This window comes from Homo sapiens, chromosome 8, assembly GCF_000001405.40.
Source record: "Homo sapiens chromosome 8, GRCh38.p14 Primary Assembly".
Lineage (NCBI taxonomy): Eukaryota > Metazoa > Chordata > Mammalia > Primates > Hominidae > Homo > Homo sapiens.
This window is the reverse complement of record NC_000008.11, coordinates 75,489,147-75,511,059: the sequence shown is the minus strand read 5'-3', so window position 1 is coordinate 75,511,059 and position 21,913 is coordinate 75,489,147. Positions and strand designations below refer to the sequence as shown.

General features: G+C 33.5%; 1 protein-coding gene across 8 annotated transcripts in view; it reads right to left on the bottom strand.

Moving 5' to 3' along the window:
- The window catches only part of HNF4G (hepatocyte nuclear factor 4 gamma), a 159,186-nt gene that overhangs the window by 55,775 nt on the left and 81,498 nt on the right, over positions 1 to 21,913 (bottom strand). For all 8 annotated transcript variants that reach the window (XM_017013373.2, NM_001330561.2, XM_017013374.2 and 5 more), the window contains one exon: positions 20,852 to 20,971. The gene's annotated coding sequence lies outside the window, so the exon portion shown is untranslated. The remainder of the gene's footprint in view (positions 1 to 20,851; positions 20,972 to 21,913) is intronic.

Genomic DNA, 21,913 nt, shown 5'->3' with positions numbered 1-21,913 from the left:
AAAAGATGCAAAAAGCACAAACCATAAAGAATATATTGACACATCTCCTTACATTAAATTAAAAAGAAAACTTTTGTGCATCAAGATACCAAAATAAAAAGATAAAGTGCTAACTGGATGAACATTAGGCAGCAATTTAAAATGACTGAGGAATATGAAGAAATACCGTGTTAAATTTTAATTTTGGGATTATTTTTAATTACATAGAATCCAACCACATAAAATATATAAATACATATATATATACACACACAGGAGATATGTTAACTATGGGGATATATTCTGAGAAATGCATTGTTAGGCAATTTCATTGTTGCGCAAACATCATACAGTGTAATTACACAAACCTAGATGGTATAACCTACTACACACCTAGGCTATATGCTATAGTCTATTGCTGTTAGGCTACAAGTCTGTATAGTGTATTACTATACTGAATACAATAGGCAATTATAACACAATGGTAACCTTTTGTGTATCTAAATATAGAAAAAGTGCAGTAAAAATATAGTTTAAAAAAATGAAACATTGGTACTCTTGTCAAGGGCACCTACCATGAAGGGAACTTGGCAACAGTGGAAGTTGCTCTGGGTAAGTCAGTGAGTGTGTGGTGAGTGAATGTGAAGTCTTAGAATGCATTACGATACACTATTGCAGACTTTATGTAGGCTACACTGAATTTATTTTAAAATGTTTTTCAAAAATAAATTAACCTTAACTTACTATAACATTTTAACTTTCTACATCTTTAAGTTTTTTAACTTTTTGACTCTTATAACAGCTTAAAACATATACACATTGTCAACTGTACAAAAATATTTTTCTTGATATCCATATTCTATAAACATTTTCTATTTCTAATTTTTATTTTTTTTTACTTTTTAAACTTTTGTTAAAATATTAAGACAAATACACACACCTTAGTCTAGGCCTACACAGGGTTAGGATAATCAATATCACTGCCTTCCACCCCCATATCTTGTCCCATTGGAAGGTTTTCAGGGACAAAAACATGCATGGAGCTGCCATCACCTATGATAATAATGCCTTTCTCTGGAATACCTCCTGAAGGACCTGCCTGAGGCTCTTTTATAGTAATTTTTCTTTAATAAGTAGAAGTACAATCTAAAATAAGGATTAAAAAGTATAGTAAATACATAAACCAGCAACATAGTCATTTATTACTAATACCAAGTGTTAGGCACTGTACCTAATTGTATGTGCAATACTTCCATATGATTGGCAGTGCAGTAGGTTTGTTTACACCAGCATCACCACAAACATGTGAATAATGCATTGCCCCATGACATTATAACAGCTATGACATCATTAACCATAGGAACTTTTTGGCTCCATTATAATCCTATGGACCACCATCCTTATATGTGGTCCACTGTTGACCAAAACATCATTATACATCACGTGACTGTGTTTTGTTGTCCAGAACATCATTATGTGGCATATTATGCAGTATATGAGAGACAGAAGATAAAGTTCCATTGATGAGCCTTATCTAAAAGTCTTACTTTGCTACGATTTCCAAATGAATCATGACAATGCTTATTAAAATACATGTGTCCCATAATGCACTATGTAATAGGCAATAGAATGTTCCGGCTTCTCACACCCAACCCTAATTGCAGAATTCCTGTTAGTCTCCCCAGTCTTTATATACACCTCCTCTTGGCATGTGGTCTCTTCAGACAAATCTTAGATCCAGGACACCAAATATGAATCTTTGACTCCCAGGGGTTTCCACCTTCTACTTCTTTGTCATGTTGGCTCAGTCCTTAGCTCTTCACAATGAAAACTTCCCTTTACACTTCCCTTGGATGTGTTCCAGCCATCTAGAGCACACTAGAACTGGGAATTTGACCCTAAGCCTAACTACAAATATCTCAGCTTGCTCCAGCCAATCCTCTTCTGATTTCTCTCCTTACAGACCTCAGCTGACTTGTAAATGAGTGGAGTCCTATGGGTATGTCATCCTCCTTGATACCTTAAACTCACCCTCTTCGGACACATTTCTGTAATTTTCTGTTTGTGTGTCTCCCTAACCAGACTCTCAGGCCTATAGTCACTTCCAGTTCGTCTTTCTTATAAGTCAGTAAAATTGAATTTTCTAAAATTCATTCGTGACATCATTCACTCAAAACTCTTTAATAGCATTCCACTGCTCTTAGGATAGAGCATAAATTCCTCCACATGGATTACAAGACACTTCAAACTCAGTTCTGGCCTTCGTCTTCAGCTTCATCTTTTGTCAGTCATCTCTTCCCCTCTAACCTTCAATATTAATGAACTTCTCAGCTCATGTTTTCTCTTGCCTCTGTGTTTGCCTACGTGGTTACGGCTCCTGTCTTTCCCCTTACTACAATCTGTTCTTCCCCTAATGTAAAGATCAATTGTTATTGTCAATACTTGAGTTGTGCTTTCAGCTAGATTCTAAGCTCTTTGAAAAGTAGTTCTTTTGTCTTAAAGCTGTATACCTACTAGCTGAAAAAACGAGGTTTCAATAGCTTTTGAATAAATGAATAATTTTAAACCTAGAAAGTTCTTTTTTAAGAGATTTAATAAATTTTTCATACAGTTATTAAGGCCCAATATTTTATTTAACTGTTTAATATATTTAGAATTTATTTGGGACCATGGTGTAAGATGGAGATCTAACTTCCTTTTTTTTTTTTTTTAAGTAAATGCTTTTGTAACCACATGTCAATCCTCACAGAAACATATTTTATTTGGATATTATAAGATTAGCAAATTGTTCAAGGCTTGTGCCCAGCCCATTTTCTCAAATAGGGCATGGAAAAGTTCTTCTTGGAGCCAGAGAGTAGAGGAAAGGAGCTCCCGGCCCAATCTCCCTGCCTGTGCTGGAAGGATGGATTTTTCTGTATACAGAAAAGGGTCATTTAGTCTATTTGTTAAAATATTCTGTTTGTCTATTCCTGTTCCAACGACATCATTGTATTCTTATAATGTTGTTTAGCCATTGATACGGTTATTCTCCCTTTTCTTCTCGCTTTTATCTTTTTTTTTTCAAAATTATTATTTTATTCTGTTCATTATATGAAAATTAACTTTGGAATCCTTTTCACAAGCTTTGTTCAAACTAAAATTAATTTAAAAACTCTTAAATTCTCCACATATTTTAGTTTTCTTACACAGAAACCTGAGAATTCCATTTATTTCTTTTATGTTTTAAGTCACTTAATAAGTTTAAAATTGTCTTAAACTTTGCACATCTCTGCTTAGAATTATTCTGAAACACCATGTACTTTAAAAACATGTAACTAGTTAAATTTTGATGAATTAATTCTTTTTGAACAAGTTTTATAACTTTATTATATATATCAGATAGTTTTATAAAATGCAGTATTTGAAGAGTATAGCACATCACTACCTTTTAATGTTTTTAATTATAAAAGTTACATAAGCTTTGATTGCAAATGAAAAATATAGTAAACTTTAAAATTTATGTCAATTAGAATTTTAAAAATCAGCCGGGCACAGTGGCTCACGCCTGTAATCCCAGCCCACTGGGAGGCCAAGGCAGGTGGATCACGAGGTCAAGAGTTCGAGACCAGCCTGGCCATGATGGTGAAATCCCATCTCTATTAAAAATACAAAAATTGGCTGGGCATGGTGGCGGGCACCTGTAATCCCAGCTACTCGGGAGGCTGTGGCAGAAGAATTTGCTTGAACCCATGAGGTGGAGGTTGCAGTGAGCCAAGATCACGCCGCTGCACTCCAGCCTGGGCGAGAGAGCGAGACTCCATCTCAAAAAAAAAAAAAAAAGAATTTTAAAAGTCAGTAGTTTCCTCTTCAATGGCAAATCGCTATATAGAGATAGAGATTGTAATAAAATAGAAATTAAGTAGATAGATTACATATAAAAATAGACAATTACCTGTCCATTTATAGTTCTTACATATAATCTATATGTTTACACAAAATGTGTATTTTACAAACACACTCACATAAAAACATACAAATGCACATGTGGAATTTATATCTGTCTATCTATCTATCATCTATTATATATGTTCTTTTCGTAAACCTATAACATTTTTAGGCCCAAATAAAATTGCAATGCTCAACCATCAAAACATAAATATCATTCTACATTAACACATAAAGACCTATCTCGTCTTTCAGCCACTGCATAAAAAGCTTTTGCTGATGTTGTTGTTGTTGTTGTTGTTGTTGTTGATGATCTGCCACAAAAGCACTTTACCTAGCCCACAAGAATTTGTCTTTGCACTCTATCACAAAATTGTCTGGAAGCGGAAAATAATCCTTACCAGTTAACTTTTGCTACTCTAAGGGAGAAGAAAAGTGGAATTTAGGAAAATCCAGGACATTAGAACACATTCAGAAAATATTTAAGAACTGTAATTAAATGTTAGTGAGCCAGTTCAATCCTGAAATCTAATAAGCTTTGAATTAGAAAGGAGGTCAAAGGGAATTACATTGTAGTAATCAAAATATATGTCTCCTTGTAAGAATTCAGGGATATGAGAATGAGGTGGTTTGTTAATTATTTTCTCTGATTAGGTTACCCATTTCTCCCCATGTACATTTAAATATTAATCAGAGATTCACTTTAGTACAGTATTATTCAAAAGGATAAAATGAGGGAAGAGTTCAAGTATAAGATAAACAGCCAGTGAACGTGGAAGATAAGTTTCCTGCTTATTAAATCTAGTATTTAATAATTACTAAATCTGCTTGTAAATTTTATGATAGGTCTTATTCTTGCTATCTTATAAACTGAACTTTATTTTTATAAAATTAGCTTTACATTTTTTGACAGAAATTTCAGATTCTTAAAATCACTAAATCTTCGATTTTTCAGGCTTACAATTATTTAGCTTTTATACTACCTAGTTTCTAACATACCAGAAGATTGGTATGAAGAGATAGAAAGAAAAGGTATAATTCTCTCTAATATATGCCTAATGTTAAATTACTGACATAATCATTTTAAAAAGTGTACCCAGATTTTTAAAATGCAAATCAGTTTTATTTTCATTAAGAAAAATAACCCTCTATACTAACCAATTTTAAAAGTTCAATTTTGCTCCCAAGAATCTTGAACTCTAGAGATGTCATTTCTAATTTAAAAAAAATAATTAAAATGCACTGTTAGTTATTACAAACAGACTGTCAAGGGTCATTCCACTTAAATTATTGAGTAGTAACAGAGTTAATTATTCAGAGTTTGTGTCTCTACAAAATATTTAAAATGTAACTCACAGTTAAATGAATTCATTACATTCTTTCTCAGATGATTTTTAAACTAGATGACAAAAGTGTCAAGAATTCCCGAATATGTATATTTGCAACTCTTGTATTATGTTTTTTTTTTTGGAAATCTTGCATTACGGAGTTTACAGAATAACTCTATCATAAGGTACGTTTATATTTGTTTGTAAACGACAAGGCAGTGAAACTCAAAAAAATTGAGAGGTAAAACAATGTTGTTAAATATTTTGCTTTAACTTTGTTCATATTTTAGTGAGTGAATATTGTTTCAAAACATTCTGGATCTAAGGTCCCAAACTTTTGAGACCTTTGTACTGTTTGTCTTGTGCTGGAATAAGGGTTAAAGAATGATGTAGAAAGAGAAGCCAACTCAGGTTAGAATACAGACAATTCCAAATTCATTTGCATATTCCAAAGGTGTATCTAGAGGCAAGAAATGGATAGTACAAATGAATCAGGAAAGAAGCACAGCTAGCAAGGAGCTTAAGGACATCTCAGACTAACATTTCATTTTGTGGTTGAGGAGACAAAGAAGTTAAGTGACTTGTCAAAGGTCCACCAACAAGTTAGCAGAAGAGTTGAGTTTAGAAATCAGTAACTACCAACATTTAGTGGGTAAAATCAGTACTTGTACTGAAAACTAACATTTTCAGAAAAGGTTGGCATGGAGAAACAGAGACCTTCCCTCGAAACCCTAGTAAATTATCCATAAAACCCTCTGAAAAGAAAATTTCTCAGTGATACTCATGAGTGTTAAAAATTGAGCATATCCCAGATTCTGGTAGAAGTTTCTATAATCACCTATATTAATGAGTGGAATTAAGAAATATTCACTCATCTTTCCTCTCTTGTCCCATCAAATATAATAGGTATAATTCAAAAGTACAACATTATAAAGTGAAACAGATTAGATATTCACAGTAGTTTCCACAATTCACAATTCACTGTATAAAATCCCAGGGTTACTTACAAATAAGTAATAAGAGATCATTTTAATTTGTAATGAAATTATCCTAATAAAAAGATCTAATAGAAAGACCTTAATAAACAAATCATCATCAGTACAATATAAATTTGCAATTTAGACAAAGGGAAATATAAATAGAAAACTAACATTGGAAAATGTCCAAATTTGATAATAATTACAGTGCATTAACCTCAAAATATATTATGCCTAGAAAATGAGCTTTTTGTAAATGACATTATGTGTTGCAGATAATTAATATCACTCGTGCAACGCTAACAGCAATGTAAATTGCCCTCCCCCAAAAAGTATATGTATATGTGTATATATGTTTGTAAGTGTATAATATATATGTATATATCAAGAGTTATTAAAATGCTTGTAACTTTTGACCTAGTAATCCCAGTTTTAAGAGCATGTCTTTCTTGAGATTTAGTAACCAGAACTATCTTTGATATTTTAAAGGGAGAAACACTTGTTAATATAAAAGGTAAAAATATGTTTTGTTTTCTTCCCTGATCATATCCAGATTTTTTTTGTTGTTGTTTTTGGTGTGTGTGTGTGTGTGTGTGTGTGTGTGTGTGTGTGTGTGTGTGTCTGTGTGCTTTGGACAAAGTCTTACTCTGTCACCTAGCCTGGAGTGCAGTGGCACAATCTCAGCTCACTGCAACCTGTGCCTCCTGGTCCAAGGGATTCTCCTGCCTCAGCCTCCTGAGTAGCTGGGACCACAGATGTATGCCACCACACCTGGCTAATTTTTGTGTTTTTAGTAGAGACAGGGTTTCACCATGTTGGCCAGGCTGGTCTGGAACTCCTGACCTCAAATGATCCACCTGCCTCGGCCTCCCAATACACCCAGAATTTTATTAGCTTTTAGGATTATGGAGACAACTTAGACTCATGTATTCTAAACATAACCCACAATGACTCCTAGGCCTTTAGATTACCTGGAACTTCCTCTTTACTAGCTTTAAACTGGTTCCCATCCACAGCAAAAGATTACAGCTTGTGACCATGTGATTTTCTCATACATGACACATTCTCACTGGCATACCCAGAGTTATTAGCAGTTTTCAGAACTCTGTAAGTTCTCCACTCCTATAAGTACTATAAGGACTCCACTCCTCTTTGTCAGACTCAAAAAATCATTTCATAATTCAAGAGAGTAAGGGTATTTATAGGTACAACACTGATTCAGCTCTAACATACAACAAACCTCAAACTTCAGTAAAGTATTATAAGTAACAAATTATTCAGAACACAAACAACAATGATTGTGACACATTAGCTTATCACAGCACTATGGATAAAAAGCTCTGATCTAGACCAGAAGCTGTTGTAAGAATATCTTGACAACATCTCTCACTGGAAGCCAGAGACACTGTACACCCAACTCTCTTGAACTATCACTCTTACTATTAGTAATAAAAATAATATGGCATTAATTAAGTGATCAATCTGTGACATCTCTGTGTTACTTTACATGTTTTAACTCATTGAATACTTATAGCTCTGTAGGTGATCGCCATTTTTCTCTTTATTTTACAAAGAGGAAATTGAGGCTTAGAGCATTTAGTAATTGCCCAAGGCTTAGTAAGCAGCAAAACCAAACACAAACACAGGGCTATCTAATGTCAAAGTCTGCTCTCTCAACTAGTGCTTTCCTTTACCACAGAAAATTGTTTTTAATATTTGAGAATGATTTACCTATGAAGTTTTCTATATGAAAAGTAATCTCTTTTTCCTTCCAGAACCCCCTGCTGCCCTTCCTAATAATATCTCACAATTTTGTAGATACTATGTATCTGTCCAGAAAAAGTGTATGCAAGTAAAAACTGCATGAGTATAAGTGTTTGTGTACTTTCAAAGTACAAATATGTTACAATATGCATTTTGTTTTGCATATTTTGTTTGAAAATATATCCATATCATCGTATATTGGACTACTCCCCTACTAACAGACAATTTCAGACTTTTGCTATTACAGACAATATCATGAATAGCCTACAAATGTAATTGCTAACAATGGGTGTCTTTCTAAAGGAAGAATTTCTGAGCGAAAGGTATAGGTCAAATTTTTTAGGTCAAATTACTTCAAAGCAATTATAATAATTACACACACTCCAACAATATATCATAATAGAATGCCTGTTTTTCCACAACCTCTTCTATACCAAATATTAAAAGACATGTTTAAAAACTGAATGGTAAGAGTAGTATTACATTGTTGCTTACCCTTGTGCTTCTTTAATTATTTGTACAGGATGAGGCGTTTTAGTATATGTTTAAAAGCTTACTTTTTCTTTTGACCTACGTGTTTTTGTCCTTTGCCCATTAGGCTGTTTGCTATTTTCTTGTCACTTGATAAAATCTCTTTACATATTAAAATTAACATTTACCTAAAATATGCTATAAACTGCTATTTTTGTAATGCAGGTTTATAAAATTCATCAAGTCAAATTTTATTATTTGTTATCTCTATGTTTTACTGTGTTTATACAGGGTATCCTCATGAGGATTAGGGAAAACATGTTCTCTCAATTCTCTGTCTTTCACACAACTTTTATATATACTTTATTTTATGTTTAAAACTTTGTTTTTAAATTTGAGAAATCTATTGTATAAATGCTGACCATAGTTAATAATACTTGCAAATCACCAAGAACATAGACTTCAGGGCCAGGCGCGGTGGCTCACGCCTGTAATCCCAACACTTTGGGAGGCCGAGGCAGGTGGATCACAAGGTCAGGAGATGAAGACCATCCTGGCTAACAGGGTGAAACCTCGTCTCTACTAAAAATACAAAAATTAGCTGGGCGTGGTGGTGCACGCCTGTAGTACCAGCTACTCGGGAGTCTAAGGCAGGAGAATCGCTTGAACCCGGGAGGCGGAGGTTGCAGTGAGCCGAGATTGCGCCACTGCACTCCAGCCTGGGCAACAAAGAGAGACTCCATCTCAAAAAAAAAAAAAATACTTTAGGTATTCTCATCATGAAAAAAAGATAATTATGTGAGATAATGCATATGTTAATTAGCTTGATTCAGTCATTCCAAGATAGATACGTATTTCAAAACACCAATGTTGTATACCATAAATATATACCATTTTAATTTGTCAATTTAAAAAACATTTCTTTAAAAAATTTGTTTTATCTGGGATATATTTTGGCATAATATGTGAAGTTGGTAAGGGATGTAATTTTTTTCTCTGATGGAATGCGAACCAAATGTCTACACACTATTACTGAACAAAATCTCTTCAACAATAATTTTTCATGTGAAAAAAATAACAAAACTATATGTGTGTGTTTTGGAGTACATTTGGATTCTGTTTCAACTTATCGATCTGTCTATTATGTACCAAATGTTACCAAACATTTTGTTATCTGAGACAGGATCTCACTATGTCAGCTGGGCTGGAGTGCAGTGGCATAATCATAGCTCACTGCAGCCTTAGACTCCTGGGCTGAGCCTCTGGCCTCAGCCTCCCAAGTAGGTGGGACTACAGGTGTGCATACCATGCCTGGATTATTTTTTTTATTTTTATTTTTTGTAGAGATACGATCTCCCTATCTTGCCCAGGCTGGTCTCAAACCCCTGGACTCAAGTGATCCCCCCACATTGGCCTCCCAATGTGCTGGGATTACTGGTATGAGCCACCTTGGCCAGCTGTAAACTTTTAAAATTCCTGTAGTTTTATAATATGTTTTAAAATCTGGTAGTATTCATTATTCTTCCCTTGTTAGTCTTTTTTATTACAATTTCCCAGGATAAATTCTAATATAATTATATATGATAAACTATAAACACATTTTATATATAGATACATGTTTATTATATTTATTTATAATTTAGTAGCTTTAAGTGTATTCAAAAGGTTGGACAAACATTACCAGTCTCTAATTTCAAAACATTTTCATCAGTCCTCAAAAAACCAATATACATTAACAGTCATGCCCGACCTCCCTCCCCTTGCCTCTGAAAAATACTAATCAATATTCTTTCTCTATTAAATTTTCTCATTCTGGACATTTCATCTGAAGGGAATTGTACAATATTTTGTGTGCATGTGTGTCTTGTTTCACTTAGTGTAATGTTTTCAAGGCTAATCCATGTTGTAATAGGTATCAACACTTCATTTTTTTATGGCTGAATGATATTCTATTATATGAATATAACCCATTTTCTTATCCATATGTTAGCTGATGGAAATACAAATTATTTCCACTATTCAGTTTTTATGAACAATGCTATAGACATTGTTACATATTTTTTCATATGAACATGTATTTTAAATGCTCTTGGGTACATGTTCTAGAGAGAAATTGCTAGATCATATGGTAACTCTATGTTTGTCTTTATGAAAAACTGCTAAACATTTTCCCAGAGCAGTTGGCCATTTTACATTCCAACCAGTAATACATGAGATTTCAATTTCTCCACATCTTCACCAACACTCGTTACTTTCTGCCTTTTTCATTATAGCCATTGTGGGGGATGTAAAGCATTGTCTCATTGTTTTAAATTGCATTTTCCTAATGACTAACGATGTTGGACATTTTTTCATGTGCTTATTGTTCGTTTATATATCGTCTTTAAAGTAACATCTATTCAAATCCTTTGCCCATTTTTGATTGAGTTTTCATTGTATTGTTGCTGCAGTGTAAGAGTTCTTTATATATTCTGGATACAAGACCCTTATCTGACATATGATTTGTAAACATTATCTCCCATTCGATGAATTGTCTCTTCACTTTCTTGATAATGTCTTTTGAAGCACAATGGTTAATTTTGGTGAAGTCTAATTTATTTTTTCTTTTGTAGTTTGTGCTTTTAGTGTGATATCTAATAGTCCATTGCCTAATACAAGCTCATGAATATGTTTTCTTTTAAGGATTTGATAGTTTTAGCAGTTGCATTTGTGTCATTGATCACTTTTAGTTAATTTTTGTATGTTATGTCACGTAGGCATTCAACATTATTTTTTGGCATGTAAATTTCCAGTTGTCCTATCTCCATTTTTTGAAGAGACTATTGTTTCTCACTTGAATTGTCTTGGTGCCCTTGTCAAAATCAATTTATCATGAATATATGAGTTTTTCCCCCCACTGGACTCTAAATTCTATTTCATTAATCTATATATCTATTCTTATGTTAGTACTGTACAGCTTTAATTACTGTACCTTTCTAGTAAGTTTTGAAATTGGAAAGTGTGGGTCATTCAGCTGTGTTCTTTTGTTGTTAAATTTTCTTTTTTGCATATTTTAGGTCTCTTGAATTTTCATCTGAACTTTATTATCAGCTTGTCAAGGTCTGCAAAAAAAAGACAACTGGAATTTTGTTAGGACTATGTTAAATATGTAAATCAATTTGTGGAGTATTGCCATCTTACATATATATTAAATCTTTCAATCCATGAACATGGGATGTCTTTCCAATTATTAAGGAATTCTTCCATTTCTCTCAATAATGCTTGTAGTTTTTAGTGTACAGTCTTGTATCTCTTTTGTTAAATGTGTTTCTTAGTACTTTATTATTTTTAAGCTATTGTTAATGAAATTATTTTCTTATTTCACCTTCTGACTGTTGTTTGCTAATGTATAGAAATTAAACTAATTTTTGTATATTAACCTTGTATCTATCCTATAACCCTGTTGAACCCATTTAGTAGTTTGAATAGCTACTGAGGGATTTCTTGGGGCTTTCTATATAAAACATCATGTCATCTGCAAATTGACATAGTTTTACTTCTTCATTTCCAATCTGGACACCTTTTCTTTCTTTTTCTTGCTTAGTTGCCCTGGTTTGAACTTCCAGTAAAATGCTAAATAGAAGTAGCAAAAACAGACATTCTTATCTTGTCCCTGACTCCAAATATTTCAGCATTTGTTTGATGTTTGATGTGAGTTTGCCATAAATATACTTTATTTGGTTGCTAAAGTTCACTTGTATTTCTGGCTTTTTAAGTGTTGTTTCTTAAAAGTGTGTTGTATTTTGTAAAATGCTTTTTCTGTTTCTACTGAGATGATCATGTGGTTTTTGTTCTTTATTCTTTTAGTGTGCATTGATTTTTTAATGTTGAACCACCCTTTCATTTGTGAGATAAAGCCCACTTGATTATGATAGATAATCCTTTTTTTCTGTTGTTGTATTTGGCTTGCTAGTACAGTATTTTGTTGAGGATTTTTTGCACTTATATTCATAAGATTGCTGGTCTGTCAATTTTTTTTCTTTTGATATCTTCATCTGGTTTTGTTATCAGGGTAATATTGGCCTCATATAATAAGTTGTGTTTCCTTCTTTTCAATTTTTGGAAGTGTTTTCAAAGGATTTGTGACAATTTGTCTTTAAATACTTGCTCGAATTCACCAGTGAAGTCATATAATCCTGGACTTGTTTTGCGGGAATGTTTTTGATCACTAATTTAATTATCTTACATATTATAAGCCTATTCAGAGTTGCTATTTTTACTTGAGTCAGATTTGATACTTTGTGTCTTCCTAGAAATTTGTCCATTTCATCTAAGTTATCAAATTTGTTATGAAACTTTACTGTTCCTAGTGGACTTTCATTGCTTTTTTGTTCCTTGTTAACTTCAAACAAGTTAATAGAAGACCCAAAAATTGGATATGGGCTTTGAATAATATACCTCAAAATGAAGAGACATAATTAGAAAAATATTATTTATTTAGAGAAATTTGATTTATATATAATGTTGCTGAAATAAGAATATATGTATCTCTTGCATTAAGCATATCTTTTTTTTGTCTTGTGTGCCGACAGGGATTCTATGGTGGAACTTAAAAATTCTAAGTGTCCCAAATGTCCTAGCATTTGCCTGTGGTATGAATACTTCAAATTTATTTTAAAAATTTCAGTAGGGTCTCTATTAATATGTATACTATATTAATCATATTCCAATTAATTTTGTGTAGTGTTTATACATTTTTTGAAACATTTTACAACAAAATCAAAGACAGGATAATATTAAATGCAATTTAAGTTTAGTTTCTAAACTGACTTACCATATTATAGCATAAGAATGTTCTTTTAATTAAAAAAAATTCTAGGAATCTTATAATGATTTGCTCGTCTTCAGCAGCTACATGAAACCATTTTATCTATTTTTTTTTTTTGAGGGGGTGGAAATGGAGTCTTGCTTTGTCACCCAGGCTGGAGTGCGGTGGCATGATTTTGGCTCACTGCAACCTCCGCCTCCTGGGTTCAAGCAATTCTCCTGCCTCAGCCTCCCGAGTAGCTGGGATTACAGGCGCCTGCCACCACACCCTGCTAATTTTTGTATTTTTAGTAGAGACGGGGTTTCACCATGTTGGCCACACTGACCTCGAACTCCTGACCTCGTGATCTGCCCGCCTCGGCCTCCCAAAGTGTTGGGATTACAGGCGTGAGCCACCGTGCCTAGCCAAAACCATTTTACCTTTTCTTCAATACATTATTAGGTGTATTATATATTGTACTTTATACCTCTTTTAATTTCTCTGCAGTACCTAGCCCTCTCCTGGTCTCTATGTGTCCAGCAGTTATGACTTCCTTTTACAAGGAATCAGATGTGGTGTCCTCTGCTTGACAAAATTAAATGTATTTTAATGACCCAAAAACACAAACACGAACACAAACACCCACCTTTTCTGCCAATAGAGAAAACAGACTTTGTTTTAAAACAGAGATAATACACAACCCTGTTTGGTTCTTAGTCCTCAAGCCCTTCTCATCTACACAGCATTTATATACCCCCATCAAAGCTAGTGAGAAACAAGCCAAGGGCTGTAGCCCCTACTCAACTAGGTTTTTCTGAATCATAGGGCATTGGAACTGAGGAAATATCTTTTCTGCAACAAAATTTGCATTTTGTTGTTAAGATAATGTTTCTAAATCTAGTAGACACTGCTGCTCTTCATTTTTCCAAAAACTGCATTTCTCATAGTCACAAAACTTTAGACAGTCATCAGAGACATAGCACAACCTATCTTTACATATTTTAATGCCATATATATATATATATAGTAATAATGTATTTGATGCTGCTTCGTTATAATTTCTATATATGCTTCTATGTTTTCTATGTCTTTTTCTCCACTTGTCTGGTTATAGTCTTATTAATTTTCATGGAATAAAAACCAAATATTATAGGAGCTCCTTCATGACAACCAGTTATGTTCTTGAGCTTTGTAGAGAGATTCTTTTTTTAATAAATTAAGTGGTAAGAAGAGATGCAAGATTAAGAAATCCAAGATTTTGGAGTAAATCCCCTCTGAAAGTTGTGAGATGGAGAATTCTGGTGGCTGTTTAAAATAACTAGGAGTTTGAAAATGCCCTGAGAAAAACTGGTAACGTCAAGCTTTTGAGTGAGCAGTTAAGGTTTGACAGACTCAGGAAAAATAAACAAAAAGACCTCCAGTGCCATGAAGTTAATGTAACATCCACTGAGTTGAAAAAAAATATATTATATTAAGATATATTCAGGAAGCTGCTAGAACCCTGCCAGTAGGTATCAGGAAAAGCTCATGACAAGAAAAAAAGAATAAAGGATAACCGTGACTAGAATAGTATTTTTTAAAAACCAATTATCTTTAAGAAGTACATTTTACGGTAAATTTTGTTTACTCTTCTTGCAGAATAATTTTCTGGATCTCCTGGATCTCTCAAATTTTTTGCATATTACTTATATTAAAATTGGATTTAAATATACACTACTTTTAAAGAAGTAACAGATTTTAAAATATTAGTTTTGATATTACTTTTTTCCCATAGATATTTTGTCATTCAATTATTAGATATTAGTAGTACCTGCTCATAACTATAATACAGTAGCTCACAAAATTTAAAGACTTTGTTGAAGAGGGAGAGAATAAATAATTGATCAATAATAGGGACAAAATAATATAGAAATATTGATATTGTTCCATTTCTTTATTAAGGTAAGGGCTATATTGTACCTATTTCAGTATTATTCTTTATACTGCATATGTAGTGTGTATGTTTGTATCAAATATTTTATTATACAAAATTAAAAGTGCCAAGGCGGGCAGATCACTTGAGGCCAGGAGTTCGAGACCAGACTGGCCAACATGGTGAAATTTCGTCTCTACTAAAACTACAAAAATTAGCCAGGCCTGGTGGGACGGGCCTGTGGGCTCATCTACTTGGGATGCTGAGGCACAAGAATTGCATGAACTCGGGAGGTTGAGGCTGCAGTGAACCAAGATCGCACCACTGCGCTCCAGCCTGGGTGACAGAGGAGACTCTGTATTTAAAAAAAAAAAAAAAAAAAATTAGAAGTGTTCTGTCTTTATGTATGTTATCACACTTGCCTCATACAAGTTCCAAAGTTGACAGAATGCTCAGGCAGAGACAATTAAATGTCAGGATCCTGTTAGCTCCTCAGCACAGTGAATTCTGAGGCCTACAGAAACATTACAAGTTAGTAATCCAAAGTCTTCTTTAATATAATAATAACTTCCCATCCTTAACATCTATAGAAAATGTGATAATAGTGAATGCCATCACATGGGGATATTAAACATGGAAACTTCAGAGATATTACACCTGTATTAAAGTTTTCTATATGACTCTGCATGATACGAAATACCATTGTTGGTGATTTCAAAGATGACACAATGAGAAGAGTAGGAGGATACTAGTTTAAGTTTTAGGAACATAGTCTGTGAATCAGTTGCAAAAGCATAAATAGAATAAGCAAAAGTCATTGTGTTCCAAAATCTCTGCCATTTTTTCTCTCCTATCATATTCATCTTATTCTGTCTTCAGTGTTTTGTTATTTGATAAGATATACCAGTGTACTACTGGCATCACTTACACTTACTAATTGATGGAGACCAAACTATGAAACTATATAGTTTCCTTAACACCAAAAACATCACCTTGCTTATAGATAGCAGGTCATAATTCAAAGTCAATTTAAATAAACACTGTTTTTGTTACCTTTTTAAAGTAGAGATGTTTATTGTTAAATAAATATATTTTTCTATAATTGTATAATTATAATTGTATAAAATGTATAATTTTAGTGCATGTTTATTTCTACATATGCTATTACTAGTATTATCTAAAAGTTAATCCTTTCAAATACTACATTTTGCCACCATTCATTCATTCAAAAAAAAATAATGACCACTTATTATGTTCAAGGCAGTAATCTAGGCGATAATTTCAAGAACTAATAAACCACAATACTGGTCCTTGATAAGATTGTTTCTAAATGCACATGATTCATAATATTTTAATGTGTAATCTTTATTTATTACGTTCAATAAAAACAAATTTAATCCTTAGTCTGGAGCAGAATTCTCAATGGTCACAAATTAAAGCCCAATTTATGCAACTGTAATAAAAGACCTTATTAATGTTCATCTCATTATTTCAGGCAATAAAAATGACTTAAATTTTCACGTATCTATCACATGATTTTTTCTTGGTCTCCTTGTGTATTGTCAACCTGTGTGTGTGTGTGTGTGTGTGTGTGTGTGTGTGTGTGTGTGTGTGTGTGCTGTATGGGAGAGCAGTAGCTTTTTTCCTTACTCTGTGTAAAAATAACACTTTGTCTAATTTTATTGTCATTTATTTCATGCTGCTTGTGAATGTATTGAATACATGTTTATAATCTCATTAACTGTCTTCTCTTTGCAGGAAGGTTTGATGTTTTAGACAACTTTGATTTCTCTACAATTGTTTCGACAAAGTATGAACTTAGTAAATTTTGTGAATGAACTGTAAGTTTATAATCATTCAGCTTTCCTAATATATACTATTACTATTTGAAATAGCAATACAATGCTGCTCAGAGATATCACATTGGAAAAATATTAATATATGGAGGGTAGATTCTATTATTTGGCATTGATGTATATGTCTGCAAATTTGCTTTCAGTGGAAAATGTAACAACAGAGAAAATTAAAGAAAATGTACCCCCAATTGCTTGGGACAAATTTTTAAACATTTTTTTTGAAAAAGAATAACAATTAAAACATAATCAGGCTTAATAAAATTAACAAGTTCAGCAAAAAAGTTTTCTAATTGTTATATATCATCATCAGTAGGAATTATATATGCTTATCAAACATTGTTTAAACAGGTAAAAAACACTATGAAGCTTACATAAGTTGATTTTAAAACACTATTGTAAAAATAGATAAAACAGAAAATTTAAAAATATACTTTTTTAAAAAAAGAAATGCAATTAGTAAACAAATATATAGAAAATTTTCATACTAAACTTAACATTATAAACAATTTTTTTTAACTTTTCCAACTAGCATTTTATTATTTTTCAATTACAATACCAAGTATTGATAAGAATGCAGTCAAATGGACAATCTCTTACACTTTTGTTGGAAATATCCATGGTATAAACATTTGGCAAAGCTATTTTGCTGTATATACCTTTATAGCTTTTGCCTCAATGATTCATTCTGTGAGAAAGAAAGCACGCCTTTTTCTAAGCACTCTTCAGGATGGGGAAGCATGTGTCCAACCAGCCTCCATTTCTTCCCAGGACATGAAACTCAATCTACTCAGTACAGTTCAGTCTAATAGTTCCTTTCCCTCCAGATATATACCTTGCTGTCTTTTCTAAAATTGTTTAACACAAATTTGGTCCACTCCAATGATGAGATTTTCCCTTCTTCCCAAATTTTACTAAATATATATAAAATAAGGTAGATCTACATGTTTTCAATACATATTTTTACACATATTTAAGCATTTTATGATTCATATGTATATGACTACATACATATTTATGTGTGTGAGTGTATATATATATATATATATTTCAGTCATATTCCAACTCTGTTCCCTCATGCATTTCTTGCACAAAGTCATGTGCAGACTTCCACTTGTTTTTTGTGTCAAACCAATCTTATTGTTCAGAGAACTGCACTCTCCCTGCTCCAAAAAGGGAAAAGGCAGAGAGTGCTTGGATGAGAAGTTTTTCTTTCACTTTTTCTCAGGAGAAATCAGCCTCCTTGCTTATAATTCAAAGCCAGAAATATCTTTCTGGCCTTCCTTGAGTGGTTTCTGTGAGGGTAGGATGAGCCACTGTGTAAGGTCAGCTGGGATGGATAGAAAATAAAAGTAATGGACTTCAGTGTGACTCAGGACAAATCATTGTAACCCCCTCTAGGCTTTGGTTCTTCTCTACAAAATGAGGATAAAGAGACCCATCTCATAAAATTGCTTTGAGGAATAAATGAGATAAATTATGTGCAAGTGTTATGTAATCTACAAAGAAGTTGTGGTGAAGGCCATCATTATTGGTGAGAATGGGACACATATGTGAAATGTGCAAACATAGGGGGGTCACAATAATGCTCCCATCTGGTGCTTAGACTGTGCATTTTATCTGAAAATACTCTGCTTTAACCAGCCTTTGGCTTCTCCTTTAATCTTTCATTAAGATTCTTCCCTCTCCTACAGGTTTCTAGCTGAATAGTTTTACATTAAACAGTTATTAAACCAGAGAGCACTCTATCTGATCTCAGACACTACTTAGGGTAATGCATACTATCAAAACTGAAAGGATTTAGAAGAGGAGGAAACAAGTAGGTAGTAGTAAGAGTGACTAGATCAGTGTGGGGCGGTGGCATTTGAACTGGGCCTTGAAACATTGGAATAATGTAAAGAAACAAGCATTTCAAGCCAGGAATTGAGTATGAAAACAGGTGTAGAAAACTCATCTTAAAAGCGATTACCTTCAGTATGTAAGGAAAAAATGAAATGAAGTCATAGCAATATGTGCTGGCACAAAGCAGTCTACAAGAAAACCAGCACAGCTCTGGAGTAAACCTGGCCTGGAGAGGATATTATTGAAACAGATTTCAAGCTTATGGCTAAGGGCCTCACTGTCTAAAACCACTTGTTTGGGGCAAGCATTGTTCTTTGTGTGCCCATCTCTTAACCACAGTGGCCTGTCTAGACATAGCTGGACTCTTCTGCTTATAAGTCTTCATGGTCTAATCCTTAGTCCTCTAAGCGACTTGCATTTCCCATTTCAATGAGAATTACAGTGATCTGGCCTGACGCGGTGGCTCACGCCTGTAATCTTAGCACTTTGGGAGGCCAAGACGGATGGATCACCCGAGGTCAGGTATTTGAGACCAGCCTGGCCAACATGAAGAAACTCCTTCTTTACTAAAAATACAAAAATTAGCTGGCTGTGGTGGCATGTGCCTGTAATCCCGCTACTTGGGAGGCTGAGGCACGAGAATTGCTTGAATCCCCAGGAGGCAGAGGTTGCAGTGAGCGGAGATCGCACCACTACACTCCAGCCTGGGCAACAGAGCCAGATCCTGTCTTAAAAAAAAAAAGGAAAGAAAAGAAAAAGAATTATAGTGATTTTAGAAGTGTGTTTTTGTGCTTCTCAAATTTCTATGACCTAAAAAAATTGCCTATAAGATACTATGATTTTAGTGTATAATTACTCACTACATTTTTTATTCTCAACATGTATTTATTGGTATTGTATAAAATATAATTATCATAAAAGTAAATCTTCAAGTAAAAAAATTTTGTATCAGTAACATGTTGCAAACATCACTGATACCTAATATATGCCCGTTCTAACACTCCAAATATACCACATTTATTCTTCCAATAATCCTTGGGATAGATGTTATTACTATTATTATTACTACTTCATTTCATAGTAGAAGTTGATGTTTATGAGGGCTAATTTACTTGCTTAAAGTCATAGAACTCATAAATGGCAGAGACAAGATTGAAAATCCTGTACTTTCCAAACACAAACTAATGAATTTTGAGGGATGGATGAGAGGAGTAGCTTCTTGGATTTCCAAACTATAAGAGGCACTGAAATAACTCTGGACCTAAATCACCAAATTTATACTAGTGCTGAGCTGACTAATATAGGAAGCTAAGAGAGGGAGACAGGAAAATGCAAATTATTAAGCGAAGACGTTTTCTATTGAGTATTTTATATGTGAGTATATGGTTTCAGTTAGCTAAAAGTGAACAATCGCAATCTGCTCAAATTGTTTTGTTTACTGGACAAAAAATATTGTTTTCATTATCTACATTATGAACATTTTAAAAATTCTTCAGAAAATCACAAAATAAAACCTAAGTAAGAAGAAATAATCAAGAAAAGAGAGAAAACACTTGCCATCTTTTTCAGAACATTGACTCTACCACATAAGTGCAAATAAAGATGTGCATTTGCTCTGATAAACAGTTTTTATTAATAGAAACTCTTTCCCATCATTAAATAAATGTTCTTTAAATACTTCAAACTTTCTAATTTGAGAATATGCTAATTAAGTGCCCAGTGCCAGGCTCCAAACGTGCATATAAACATTTATGATATTTTATAAGCAATAGATCAGAAATAAAAACCAATGACAAAAGGCATAGTCATAATATGGGCAAGGAAGATCATATTTGCAATAAAAGATAGGAAGGAAAGGATTTCATAAGGAGGTTGTGGTCAGTGTACACTTTGAGACCTTTTAGTATATACGAAAGCACAAGCAAGTCAGACAAGAAGAAAAGAGGTCTTTACAAGGTGTCCAAGTAATAAATAATTTACAAAGCAATTTAGCAGCCTCAGCGGGCACCACTTACAAGGCTGTGGTAGGGAACGGAGTCTATATTTGTAGAGAAGAGTAGAATCAATACAAGGAGTAAGCTGTCAGTTTTTTCTGTAGTGTCAATATCTCAGACTGGCTGCTTTCGCTGGTGCTCCTGTGGAAACAATTTCCAAAAGTATACTATTGAGTGACATGCTGCATAGATTAAATGATTTACTTTTATCCCCTAACTGCATGTTGAAAGACCAATAGCCCAAAAGGAGTCCTACAGAGCCTGAGGACAAAGCAACCCATAATAACAATGTGATTTTGGAATGGTTTATACTTAAGAAAACTCTAGTGCCACAGGAAGTTCCACACAGAACAACAAGTCAACATGAAATAAGCGGTCATGTCATGATAGACATAATATCTGGCTACCAGGAGGATCATTCACAATGTTGAGAAATCTGACTAAATAGATTTATTGGCCAGATTTTTCATTTGTAAGTCATCAGATAAAATGGTGATTTCACCTTGGAAGAGCAATGAGCAATCTAAACTCCCTTTTAGTTTGCACCTGTGTGTATGACCCCATGTACAATTTTTTGAAGTGTCTTATAAAACTCAACCATGGTCTTAGCACTAAATAATTAGGTAGTTTAAATCCTTATTAAATCAGAAAGTTATAGAGTTCAATTGAATGTAACTATAAAGCAGTAGGCAAATTCAGATACAAGTATAACAGGAAAACACTCCATCTGAGCCATGGAGGTAGGTCAAAAAGGTTGGCTCTTCAACACCATTGCTATGTGACTTCAGTTTTTTAAATGAGAAGATGAGGTTCAGTTTATCTCTGGTCTCTTCCAGCATTAATAATTCCATTATTATAAACATCAATTACTGTTTAGTGTTAGAGCAGATAAATAATTTGTGAGATATTGACATGTGTAGGAATATTTGCCCTTAAATTGAAAGGCATCAAACCATTGAGATAAAGAACTAAGATGCTAATACATTTAAAAATAAGTTTCCTTCACAGCACAGATTCTGCCATTTAGAAGCACTCAGGTAAAATTTGGAAGGTGGAAGAAAGGCAGGACCTTTACCATTCCTC